We start from the raw sequence: 13882 nt of genomic DNA on the forward strand, positions 1-13882 counted from the left end.
AGCAGTATCAGCTATATCTTATTAAATGTAATATGATCATTTAAAAAAACAAATTTGATTGCTTTTTGCTGTTTACTCAAAAGATCATATCTTTCTCTTAAGAAAAAACCTTTCTTTTAAAAGAAACTTGATTTCCTAGGATAAACTTTACTTGGTGGGGAATTCCACTATTAATGCATATTATAAACATTTTTCTAACATTTTATCTAATTTTATTTTTTCTTCTATTAATGATTTGGATCTATGATCTACATTTTGTGATTCTTTTTGATTTTATATCAGTGCTATGTTTAACAATTTAAAAATTGTTTTCATTGCACTGGAATGATTTTTGTGATATATAACAATCTATTCTTTGTATGTTTGAACAATTAAGAAAAGGAACTGGAAGTAGACCCGTGTTGGGGGCCAGGGGTTCTTTACAGTTTTGATAGCATCATCAGGTTATTCCTTAGTTTTTAGTTTTTATAGCCAGTATTAGATTTTGAATAGGCTTTCCCCTCCTTTCCTTGCTGCTGTTTCAACAATCAAAACAGTCCTTGTTTTGAGGGTTGGGGGATGTGAACAGATAGACCAATCACACACTTCTCTGATAACCCACCGTGGATGTGTATTATGTCATGGATTGTGGTCAGATTAGTTTGTAATTTGCGTTTGTTGCACTAAACCTTCCATGTATACGTATTATATTATGGATTGTTTCATAACTGCTAATGCGGTCAGATTGGCTTATAATGGCCTTTGTTGTACTAAGTTCATATTTATTAAGCATTTAGCATAAGTTTTACTAACTTATTAGCCTAGTTTCCCATCGAAGAACACATCAATTACATGTGGCAGAGGAACATATCAAGAAAATCAGAACAACAAAATAACTTTTTTACCTGTTTGACCAATCTGTAATAGTTATGCTTTTGGTTTATTGTTATAATTTCATTATTATGGATACTTTAGTATATACAGTTGTGTCTTTCTATCAACAGGGGATTGGTTCCAGGGCTACCACATATACCAAAATTCATGCATACTAAAGTCCCGCAGTCAGCCCTGCGGAACCTGTGTATATGTGTATGTGAAAAGTCAGCCCTCCATGTACTTTGGTTTTGCATCCTGTGAATACTGTATTTTTAATCTTGGATTTGGTTGAAAAAGTCTGGGTTTAAGTGGACCTACTCAGTGTAAAGCCATGTTGTGCAAGGGTCAACTGTAGTTACTTTCCTTACTACCTTTGCTATGTATGTAGAAATATTACATAATTTGCAGACAGGTTTTTATTTTGAGGCATTTGGTTAATTCTTTCTTAGATAATTTTTATAACTTAACTGATTATACACTTACCTTTCTTCATTTAAATGAGACCTTTTAAAATATTTAAGTCATATGTTAATGGCTTTAATGGGCATGGAAAGTGGTTTAATCATCTGTTTTTCCTTCCTAGGTTAGTAACTTTGGAAAACAGTCCATGTATTACACCAGAGTTGCTTCGTATATTTCAGAATATGTCACCACTTCTTGGTATGTGTTAAAGCATAAACTTACTAATGTTTTTGAATGCAACCATAATTGGGAGGCATTGAAACATAATTTGGAGGCATTACAACAAAGTTGTAAGTTCAACTTCTAGTTTAGATTCAGGGGATATATGTACACGTTTGTTACATGGATATATTGCGTGATGTTGAGGTTTGGGGTACAATTGATTCTGTCATCCAGTTAGTGAACATAGTACCTAATAGTTTTTCAACCTTTGAGTTCCTCCCTCTGCCCTCTAGTAGTCTGCAGTGTCTATTTTTGCCATGATTATGTCCTTGAGTACTCAATGTTTAGCTTCCATTTATAAATGAGAACATACATACCTTCCATTTTTATTTAATCCCTAATATTGACAAATAAGTCTGTTGGTGTTGTTTGTTTTGTTTTGTTTTGAGACAAGGTCTTGCTCTGTTGCCCAGACTGGAGTGCAGTGGTATGACCACAGCTTACTGCAGCTTCAAACTACTGGACTGAAGCAACTCCTCTAGCTTCCTGAGTAGCTAGAGCTACAGGCACACACCATCTCATCTGGCTATTTTTTTCTTTTTTGGAGATGGAGTTTCACTCTTGTTGCGTGGGCTGGAGTGTAGTGGTGTGATCTTGGCTTGTGGCAACCTCCCAGGTTCAAACTGTTCTCCTGCCTCAGCCTCCTGAGTAGCTAGGATTACAGGTGTGCACCACCACACACAGCTAATTTTTATATTTTAGTAGAGACGGGGTTTCACCGTGCTGGCCAGGCTGGTCTCGAACTCCTGACCTCGTGATCTGCCTGCCTTGGCCTCCCAAAGCGCTGGGATTATTAGAGGCAAAAAATGTCCCTGAGGTATAATGAATGACACACTGGAAAAAATAGACTCACTCTTTGTAAATACCAGCAAATGTGGACTAAAAACAATTGTAACTGATTAAAAAATCATTTTCTCGCCTTATTTGTTGGATGACCATGGTGGTTAGATAATGTGATTAGTTCTTCACATTTTCTCCTAAATTTTTTGTTACTCTTTTCAAATAACAATCAAGGTAACCATTTGTTTTCCAATAAAGAGCCATTTGCTCTTTGTTATCTAGAGTCCCCATAAAAGGAAAAACTTACCAAAGATGAAGTCAGTGGCAATAGGTGTTGATCTACTAGAAAAAGAGAATAGGGTTCTTTGGTGAAGGCCTTTTTAGTTCTGTTCTACCTAACTTGGAGACTACATACCATGCTACTTTAGGCAGTCCACAGGGCTTCTTTATATTTGACCTAAGATTAGACACCTCAGCCAGCCCTTTTACCAACTTTGTCGTGAACAACATTCAGCTGCTTCCACATATGTGTGATTTCACATATTGGTCTCATTTCACCCTGTTTTCCACCTCAAATTCAGCATGCTTAGTCTCCACAACGTTCAGTTCCCTAAGAGTGATGGGAGAGGGATTGGTAACCAAGAAGAAGAGATTTAAATACAAAGCATATGACTTACTTTACTATAACTGTATGACACTATTTTTAGTGTAGCTTTAGGTAAGTGCTCTAGTGTAGTGGTTTTTTTTGTTGGTGGTGGTTCGTTTGTTTGTTTGTTTGTTTGTTTTGAGACAGAGTCTTGCTCTGTCACCCAGGCTGGAGTGCAGTGGCTCAATCTCAGCTCAGTGCAACCTCCGCCTCCCAGGTTCAAGCAATTCTTCTGCCTCAGCCTCCCGAGTAGCTGGGACTACAGGCATGTGCCACCATGCCCAGCTAATTTTTGTATTTTTAGTAGTGATGGGGTTTCACCATGTTGCCCAGGCTGCTCTCAAACTCCTGGCCTAATGTGATCCACCTGCCTCGGCATCCTAATGTGCTGGGATTACAGGCTTGAGCCACCATGCCCAGCCTGTGGTGTAGTTTTAATGATAGAAATCTTTGTAGCTGATGCATATTTCTTACCAAATCAATAAGGACTTTTATGTGTTTGGAATAATGCCTGGCACATAGTAAGCATTATCTAATGTTTTGCTAGTATGTTTAGTACTATTACTGTCACTATTAACATTACTCCCATTTAAAAATTATCCTACCATTGACCGGCTCTTCAGGATTTGTTACTTTACTGAATCAAGAACTAATGAAATTTCAACCTTTTGATAATGGATGTTCAATTTAAACTTTTTTAATTTTTAAAGATTTAAAAAGTTCTATTTTATAAAGTTTCAATGAATATAGGTGATGTGGATTCTATTATTTATTTTCTACTTTTATTGTTCAAACAAAAAAGATAAACATAATTTGTTTTATGCATTGTGGTATGTGTATTTACATCAATAATGAAGAAATTCTATTTACAAATTACATTTGTTCATGTTTATTTGTACATCTTGACCTCAGTATTACCTTCATTTTTGTTTGAGTTTGACATACAGCTTTTTGCATGTATATTCTTTCTTTCTTTCTTCTTTTTTTTTTTTTGAGATGGAGTTTCACTCTTGTTGCCCAGGCTGGCGTGCAATGGTGCAATCTTGGCTCACTGCAACCTCCGTCTCCCTGGTTCAAGAGATTCTCCTGCCTCAGCCTCCCGAGTAGCTGGGATTATAGGTATGCACCACTGCCCCAGCTAATTTTTTGTATTTTTAATAGAGATGAGGTTTCTTCATGTTGGTCAGGCTGGTCTTGAACTCCCGACCTCAGGTGATCCACCCACTTTGGCCTCTCAAAGTGCTGGGATTACAGGCGTGAGCCACCATGCCTGGCCGTACATTCTTTCATGAAAGTTTAAAAATTTATTTTTAAATACAACCAGAATATTTAATCTTTTAAGAGTATAAACCAAAATGAATACTGTTTTTGTATGTTAAATTCTCTTATTAGAACAGTGCTTTTAAGCTATCTGTTTATTAAGTATGATAGGTATTATATTTTTCTAAGCAGAAATTAAGCCACTGGGCTAGTTGCAGTGGCTCATGCCTGTAATCAGGTAGATTGCTTGAGGACAGGAGTTTGAGACCAGCCTGGGCAACATAGCAAGACCCCATGTCTACAAGAAATAAAAGTTAGCCGGCCTTGGTGGCCCGTGCTTGTGATTGTAGCTGCTCAGGAGGCTGAAGTGAGGGGATCAAGGCTGCAGTGGCTGCAGTGAGCTGTTACTCTGCTCTTGCATTCCAGCTTGGGCAACAGAACAAGATGCTTTCTCTTTAAAAAAAAAAAAAAAGAAAGCCACTGGCAGAAAGTTTCTTACTTTAAAACATATAAAGCCAACATTATAGAACACTTTAAGATGTTTAAGTTAATGGTTTTTTAGGATGCGTTAATTAAGTATGAATATATTCAAGGCTAAGATTCATTTTATGTCCTTTTCCCTACGTGTAAATAGAATCTGATAAATTTTAAGCAGAACCAGAGGCTGTAACTGGACGTTATTATATTAATTTAGTTCTAATGGCTTTTTTTCTTTAAATCTATGTTATGGTGTTAATTTACTTAGTATTCTCATTACTTAAAAGATCAGCATGTGACTGGCTCTTGTCCTAGTTATTGCAAATGCAACACTAATGTTCCTTTAACTGTAAAATTTTTCAGCTGGTAACTTTCTATCAAATTTGGAAAGGATGAAGCAGGTTTCTCTAGATTCTCTATAACATAATTTAATAATTCACTCCCTTTCCTCCTTACAGAAATTTAAAGGAATATATATGTAAAATACAAATTAAATATAGGAGCAAAATTATAAATAAAAGCAAATAGTAGATTATAAAATAAAATCACACTAAAGATATGAATCATATATGCACAGTGCATAACTAAATACTTTGATAGGTTATATACAGGTTTACCTTAGAGTTCTGTAGAAGTCTACGAAAAGAAAAACCTAGTCACTTAAATCAGGGATTTTCAGTCTTGGCTCTGTTGACATTTGGGTCAGGTAATTCTTTGTTGTGAGGGACTTTCCTTTGCATTGAAGGATGTTTAAAAGTATCCTCAGCTTCTACCTACTTGATGATAGTGATGACAAAAATGTTTCTAGACATTCCCAAATGTCCTGTAGGGGACAAAATTGCCCCTGACTGCGAACCATAGACATAAATTACTCAGTATCTGAAAGTAAATACCTATCTATTGCATGATTGAAGTATAACTTCTTGGTATTAGGACTAGAAAATTTTTCTTTAGAGTCTCACTAGGAACTTGTGGATGTAATGAACAGTGTCCAGTACCTTAAAACAGATAAATTTGTTAATTTTAAGGCTATGTATAATATTAATATTTATTTATTTATTTATTTATTTATTTATTTATTTGATGATGATAACATGCCCAAGAAAATTTTGTCAGTGCCATCCTGGGCATGGCAGAGGCATGGAAAGCAGTGTGAAGTGACCTAATTTGTATAGAACGATCCAGGAATAGTTTTTAAATATCTGTAGGAAGAGACGGGCTCTTTTCTTTTTATATCAAGTCTTCTTAAATGTTGGTTTTTTTTTAAACATTGATTTTGATAAAATTATACTTGGCAATGATTTCAAAATTATATTCCCTGATACGTCTGGAATGAAGCCATTCTCAGTTCTCTCTTAAATATAGACCCTTGGCCCTACTTTTCATGGCGATGGCCAGTCTGCTGTTCATTGTTGGTCTACAAAAAAAGTATGCACGAGTCCAGGCTTTCTCCTTGAGGAGAAAAGGATAATGTGAATTTTTCATAATGATAGCTTTATCTAATATAAAGGCCCCCTTTATCCTGAGATTTTTATCTTCTTTTGTAAAAAGATACTTAGATGACAGTTTTTGGTTTTTTTATGTCTTTTAGATTAGTAACTAGTAATAAGTTTATCATTTCCTGTCCCCTTCTTATCCTCATTTTTTAAAACTGTCAAATCCTAAAGTTTAGGAACTAATGCCTTCAGAGACATTTTGAGACAGGGTAGGATTGTCATTCTTTTGTGAAAATAAATGGAAAATTCACATCTGAATAGAATGTCTTCTTTTTATTAAGATATGATAGATAAGAACACAGGGGCTAATCTTTTGCCAGAAATTAAGAAAAAATAATTTGTCTTATTTTGAGTGAATATAATTTCTAAAATACTTGCAGCAAAGAATGGCAGGTTTTAGGCATCGATGATATTTTGGGGTCATATTTTAATCTGTATAATTTTACACGTACAGCCTGTATTCCTTTGTATTATTATTTTAAGTAGTGAAACATGTAAAATAGCACAGTGTCAACTTTTGATCATATTCAGTTTTAACAAATAGTTTCTACTCTGCACTTGCAAAGGAATAGCTAAAAACGATATCCTTTTCTGATAAAAACTGAAAGATTGAAAATATCTAAACATAATATAATTTTTTTGGAGTGTGATCAGGACTCTGTTGAGAAGTAATATCGCATATTTAGTGCAAGTGCAGTAACACTCAGTAAATGTTCACTGAGTGAACCCATTTAAGCAGATGTCAAAATATGATGGTAAAATGATTCAGTTTCATGTAGTATGCCATGCTAGCAGTAAAAATTTATTTTGAAATGAAAGGTTGGGTCAAATAGTTAGGTGGTTTTTTTTTCTGAAAGGAAAATATATGGGGAGCTTGGCTTTTTTCTGAATGTTTCACCCAGTGAAAAGCAAATGAGGTAGCATTAAGCTTTGGGTTGATACCAGTATTCATTCATTCATTCATTCATTCATTCATTTATTCATTCATTGAGACAGGGTCTCACTCTTTTGCCCACCCTAGAGTGCAGTGGCGTGATCATTGGTGACTGTACCCTTTAAGTCCTAGTGATGCCAGTTTTTAGATATCTGTAGATACTGGTAGTCTTGATAGTACTCGGAAGAGGTTTCTAGAGTATGCAAATTAGTTTTAAATAACTATGAATCACTTCATTTAAACTAATTTTGAGCAGTGAATTAATTTGGTTTTTTGTTTGACATTTATTGTTTTGGCAGAACTAAGTTCAGAAAATCTTAGAACTTGCTTTAAGATCATCAATGGTTATATCTTTTTATCATCAACAGAATTTTTACAGGTATGTTGGAGTACTTTTGCATTATATGAAATTATATAATTATTATTTTGATTATTATTTGAAATCAGGGGGTACGTTTTCAAAATTTTAAGATTGGTCTGTTATTTTAAGACAGAGAAACATTGACTGTGAGCATTTCCCATTGCAGGGCAGATGTGCTGCATGCAGTTCCTTTCTCAATGCAGAAAATGTGCTATGTCAACAAATTTTTTTTATATTCCTATGAAAATCAGTGTATCAATAATCTATATTTTTATTTGGCATAATCTTTTTTAACTTTTCCTAAGCGTTCTGATTGAAATTTGATATGCTTAGACCATTAGTGTATAATTCTCAAGTATATTATAATGAATCCCAAATGAAATTTTATGCCTTTTTGATATTACAGATATATTCTTACATATATTGACTTTTAATTGAATTTCAGACATACGCAGTAGGTCTATGCCAGTCCTTTTGTGAACTTTTAAAGGAAATTACTACAGAAGGTCAAGTTCAGGTGCTCAAGGTATTGTGATCATTTTAAATGAATATATTTATGAATTTTTCATTTATATTTTATGAAATTGGACTTTCATTTGGATGGTTCGCAAGAAGGAGAAGAGTTGATATAGTTCTAGACAGGCTATTTTGGCAGTTTTCAGTTGGTTTAATACCTGTGGACCAGAGGTCTCAAATCTGAAGGTGCATACACCTTCAACAGGCAAGAGATCAACTGGACATCTTATAAAAATTCAATTCTGGATTTCTAACAAGGTCTGAACTGATTGGGATGTTGCCTATCTTGAGACCTCACTTTGGGTAGTAAGGATTTAAAAACTCTTGTAAATTATCCAGTGATGTGATATCTGATACTTCTTATTCTTTCATTTTGTTAGTCTGCTGTTGGGACAAAGTTTTCACGTTATAATTTGATAGCTTTAATTTAAGTTGGCTATCAAAATTAGAATACCACGTTTGTTGATATTCTGTAATTATGAACTAACAGTCTCTAAGTTGTATATTATCTTTATATATTATACCTGTCTATTAAAGATATAAATAGTATTAAATGTATATATTTACATATAAACATAAATGTATGTAGAAATATATTAAAATATCTTTATGTATGGACTTTGAGAGAAGGTGTAGCTGTTAAAAGTACCCCTATTTGGGTGCAGCAAACCAACACAGCACATGTATACATACGTAACAAACCTGCACGTTGTGCACATGTACCCTGGAACCTAAAGTATAATAAAATAAATATAAAATTGATTAAAAAAAAGTACCTTTATTTTTAGTGTTGAGGTTCTCAGCTATGTTCTAAGATATGAGAGCTGAATTTCTATCACAACAAAGTAGCATTATGGTGTGAAAATCGTGGCATTGCTTTAGAGCCTAAAAATGATTTCACTTCCTCCCAGTGAAATGAAAGAGGTTACCCAAAGAGGTTTGCTTACAGAAGTGCACTTAGGTAATCAGAGTAACTGCAGCAAGAATCCAAAGTGTACTTTAGGATCTAAGTGAGTAAAAGTTTGCACAGATAATGAAGTCTTACTTCATAACTGATATGGTTAGGCTTTGTGTCCCCACCCAAATCACCCCATGATCAAGGGGATTGTAGGGATTACTGCCCCCTGATTAGTTATCTCTACCTGGTCTCCTGAGTCAAGGGAATCCTGGGGATGGTTTTCCCCATGTTGTTCTCATGATAGTGAGTCCTCACGAGATCTGATTGTTTTATAAGGGCCTCCTCCCGCTTCGCTCAGCACTTCTTCCTGCTGCCCTGTGAAGAAGATGCCTTGCCTCCCTTTCACCTTCTGCCTTGATTGTAAGTTTCCTGAGGCCTCCCCAGCTATGCTGAACTGTGACTCAATTAAACCTCTTTCCTTTATAAATTACCCAGTCTCAGGCAGTTCTTTATAGCAGTATGAAAATTGACTCATACATTAACCAGTAAGATACCATCTAGATTTGCGTAAGCACAGTCTATGACGTTTGCACAACAGTGAAATCGCCTAATGACACATTTCCCAGAACATATCCCTGTTGATAAGTGGTGCATGACTGTGTTTTTATTCACTGTCGTAACTCTGCTAGCATGAATCAGGCGAATATAGTGTTAAGTACTGCAGTGAAGTGAACAGGAGTAAGGAGAGAAATGCTGTTAGGATTGTCTGCTGAGCATGGGGATTTACATTTTAAAACTAACATTTAAAACGTATTTTTGTGTCTGTAAATTGGAAGGGTCATCTGCCAGATTATTGAAGTATTAAATTATAGATTGATGAGAAAAGGAAGGAGCTTAAGGAGATCAGTAAGGACTGTATTAGTTTCCTAGGGATGCTGTAACAAAATACCACAACCTTGGTGGCTTAAAACAAGAGTTTCTTTATAATACTTATGTTAATTATATAATTAAAAAAATCAGTGTTTGCAGGGCCTTGCTCTTTCTGAAGGGTCTAGGGGGAGAATCTGTTCCAAGCCTTTCTCTTACCTTCTGGTGATTGCAGGCAGTCTTTTGCGTTCCTTGGTTTGTAGATACGTAATCCTGCCATCTGTGCTTCCGCTGTCACATGATGTTCTCCTGGTATCTGTCTGTGTCTCTGTTTTGTTTTTGTTGTTGCAGGGACAAAAGTCATAATTGATTAAGGGCATTCCCTAATATCTTCATCTTACCTTGATTACATCTGGGATACGGCAGAACTCTTTGGCTTTAATTTTTTAGCTTATTAGTTTCTTTTTTAGAGCAAGGGGTTTACTAAAGGGTGAGAATATAAGCCACTGTTACCAAAGAATCATGTGGGCTCTAAAGGACTTGTAATAACAGTAATCTGTGCTTGTGGCTTGTTGAGACCCTGGATACTTGAGGCCTGGTTTATTGGACTAGTCTATTAATCCACATTTATTATTAATTTCAAAGTATTCTCCTAGCTCCAAAGCTTACAAGTAACATCAAACATGTTGCTTACTAAAATGCCTTTATGAATTTTTATTGCATTTATGCCTTTATTAAACTGACACAGTGGCAATATAAGTATATTAAGGAACTCAGTCTTATACAATTTCAGCTTCAGCTTTTGCTTTGGTGATAAATTCTTCTCTGGAGGTAAGAGGAAGTAAGGAATTAATACGTTGGACTTAATTCTGACTATTTGAGGAAAAAGTGATTGGTGATGTGGGAGTGATTAAAACAAGTGAAAATTGCCATGTCATTTTGATATTATTGTCTTTACAGATTTTTTTCTGTATGTATGCCTGTTTTAACCTTTCTCCTCTATTATACTGAGCTTCTCCATTATCCAAAGTTCAGTAAATGTGTGCTCTGTTTGCTCTGAATACATATATAGTAAGTGACTTGAAAGACAAGGAATCCATAATTTTTATGTTGAAGATGTGATCTCGACTATACTGAGGATCCATTTGGGATTCTCTGCTTGACCAGTCCCTTGGTTTGCGTATGCTGCCCTGCTACTTTTATGGCTCCTGAGTATACTTTGGTCTTCATTTTCCTCAGTTATTAGATGAGGAGTGATACTAAATGATTTTTATTCTGTAATAGGCAGTACCTGAAATTCTCCATGTTAAATTGTAATATATGTATTCTAAGTGATTAAGAAAAGAGGTGATTTCTCACATTTAAACACTTCCCAGACCAAATTTGAATTGACCTTACCCCCATCCCCCTCTTTTGGCTTTTCTGCAACAATATTGTTAAAGTAATTGTTGAAAGACAACTTGTGGATTATTTGGAATGGCCATTGTGATTCTACTTGTTTTTAATTATACTCTTACCACATTATTAGAGGGAGCGTAGCATAGCAGGTAAGACTACACACTGAAGGGAGACTTCCAGGGTTAGAACATTGGCTCTGCTACTTCACAGCTATGTGATGTGGACAGATTAGTCTTTGTTCCTCATTTTCCATCTGTAACATGGGGATGATAACTTTACCTACTTCCTAGAGTTGATGTGAGGAATACTTGAGCTTATATATATAAACAGTTATAGCAATGCCAAGCATGTAATAAGTGAATATAAGAGCTGGCTGTTTTTATGTAATATATAGCTGTCTCATTATTTAGTCTCTCTATGGGGGGAAATAGGCTACTATAATTTTAGGCAAAATAATTTGGCTGTAGAGAAACAAACCAAGTTGTTCCACTTTACTCTTTGACCATTTATTTGAAATAAATACTTAAGTACATTAATTAAATTTACTTTTAAAACTAAGCAAGTTGTTTATACAATGATGGTATATTATTAGCAAGAACTGCATATTTCAGCTGGCTCTTTAAAATAATTAATAATTGTATTTTGGTCGCCAGGTGCCGTGGCTCAGGCCTGTAATCCCAGCACTTTGGGAGGCTGAGGTGGGCGGATCACCTGAGGTTGGGAGTTTGAGACCAGCCTGACCAACATGGAGAAACCCTGTCTCTACTAAAAATACAAAATTAGCCGGGCATGGTGCCACATGCCTGTAATCCCAGCTACTTGGGAGGCTGAGGCAGGGTGATCGCTTGAACCCGGGAGGCAGAGGTTGTGGTGAGCCGAGATGACGCCATTGCACTTCAGCCTGGGCAACAAGAGCGAAACGCTGTCTCAAAAAAAAAAAAAAAAATTGTATTTTGACCAGGCGTGGTGGCTCACGCCTGTAATCCTAACACCTTGGGAGGCTGAGGCAGGCGGATCACTTGATCTCAGGAGTTTGAGACTAGCCTGAGCAACATGGTGAGGCCCCGTCTTTACAAAAAAATACAAAAATTAGCTGAGCATGGTGGTGTGTGCCTGTAATCCTAGCTACTCAGGAGTCTGAGGTGGGAGGATCTCTTGAGCCTGGGGGTTGGAGGCTGCAGTGAGCTGAGATTGTGCCACTATACTCCAGCCTAGACAATAGAGTGAGACCCTGTTTCAAAAAAAAAAAGAAGAAAATTAATTGTATTTTATTTTATTTTTTTTGGCTGCTCAGAATAACACAATCTTTTTAAACATTTTTATTATTGAAAATTCCAAACTAACTTACTGCATATCAAAAATCTATAGTCAAATATGTAGTCATTATTTTTGTAACGTTTAATATGTTACAGATTAAGGCAATTTCTCTGTAAGTATGCCAACAGTAGGTTATGATTAGGATACAGATACTTGAATTAACAAATTTGGAGCCAGAGATGGTGGTGTTTGCCTTTAATCCTATCTACTTCAGAGACTGAGGTTATAAAATCACTTAAGCTGAGGAGTTTGATTCCAGCCTTCTGCACAACATGACAAGACTGCATCTCTCTTTTTTATTTCTTTTTATTTTTTTTATTTTTTTATTTTTTTAAGATGGAGTTACGCTCTTGTTGCCCAGGCTGGAGTGCAATGGCGTGATCTCGGCTCACCACAACCTCAAAAAAAGAAAAAGAATGAAAAATTGAGAATCTGATAGTATGTGTTTAAGATGGTATTTTTATACGAATATTGCTGTAGCTAAATCTGTATGTTTGGTTTAAAAATCTCAGAAACTAGATTTTATTATTTAATAAATGGATGTTAAATCCTAAATATGTTCATTATGAATAAATTATATTTTTATGTTAAGGAATATTTTAGGACAATAGTGCTTTCATTTTACTGCTATATTTGAAGGCTGGGCAAACTCAAAATTTTTGGCGTTTTCCTGTTCTTAGAGTTCTAGTATAGCAATAACAATAGTTTTTAATATTAGCTCATTTTCGTTTTTAGTATCTCTCATACCATTTCTTAATATAGTATGTTATATAACATTTTAAATATATTTTTTACTAAATGTCATTGTTATACTAATTTTTGACAGTGTCTGCAAGTAATTTCTTTGTTCTTTGAAGCAGAAAGTTACAATGTTAGGAAAATTGGATAGAGAGACCAGTATGCCTGCTTTTGGAGCAAATGGTGTAGAGCAAAGGATACGCTTTACTTTATTTTGTGACTGAACATGTTATCTAGAGGAATGTAATTATAAAATACTCTAAATTGTTAACATTTCTCATATTTGAAATTTGTCAATATTACAGCCGTACTACTATGACTTTTTGAATTCTCATTCTGGTCATGGTCATATTAAGCAATGTTAAGCCAAGTTTCTTTTTTTCACTGTGATTAGACTTAAGATGACACAAATATTTTTAAGGTGTAACTTATTGTGTAATAATAATAGCTCATACTAGCATTTAACATATGCTACATATTCTAAGCATGTAAAACATAGATGTTATTTAATCCTTACATAAACATATAATGATAGTACTGCTCTTTTCCCCAGTCTTACAGATGAGAAATTAAATCACAAAGTGGTGAATAATTTTTTCAAGGCCACTCAGTAAGCATTGGAACCATGATATAACACAAGCATTTTGACTTTAGG

The 13882-nt window shown here is 35.1% G+C and overlaps 1 protein-coding gene across 2 annotated transcripts in view; it reads left to right on the top strand.

Annotated features, from left to right (window-relative positions):
- IPO11 (importin 11) overlaps nt 1-13882 on the top strand; it is a 215820-nt gene that overhangs the window by 116508 nt on the left and 85430 nt on the right. For both annotated transcript variants that reach the window (NM_016338.5, NM_001134779.2), the window contains exons 22-24: nt 1439-1515; nt 7432-7511; nt 7939-8019. In NM_016338.5, the coding sequence (NP_057422.3) occupies nt 1439-1515; nt 7432-7511; nt 7939-8019 (238 nt within the window). The remainder of the gene's footprint in view (nt 1-1438; nt 1516-7431; nt 7512-7938; nt 8020-13882) is intronic.

The sequence above is a fragment of the Homo sapiens genome, chromosome 5, assembly GCF_000001405.40.
Source record: "Homo sapiens chromosome 5, GRCh38.p14 Primary Assembly".
Lineage (NCBI taxonomy): Eukaryota > Metazoa > Chordata > Mammalia > Primates > Hominidae > Homo > Homo sapiens.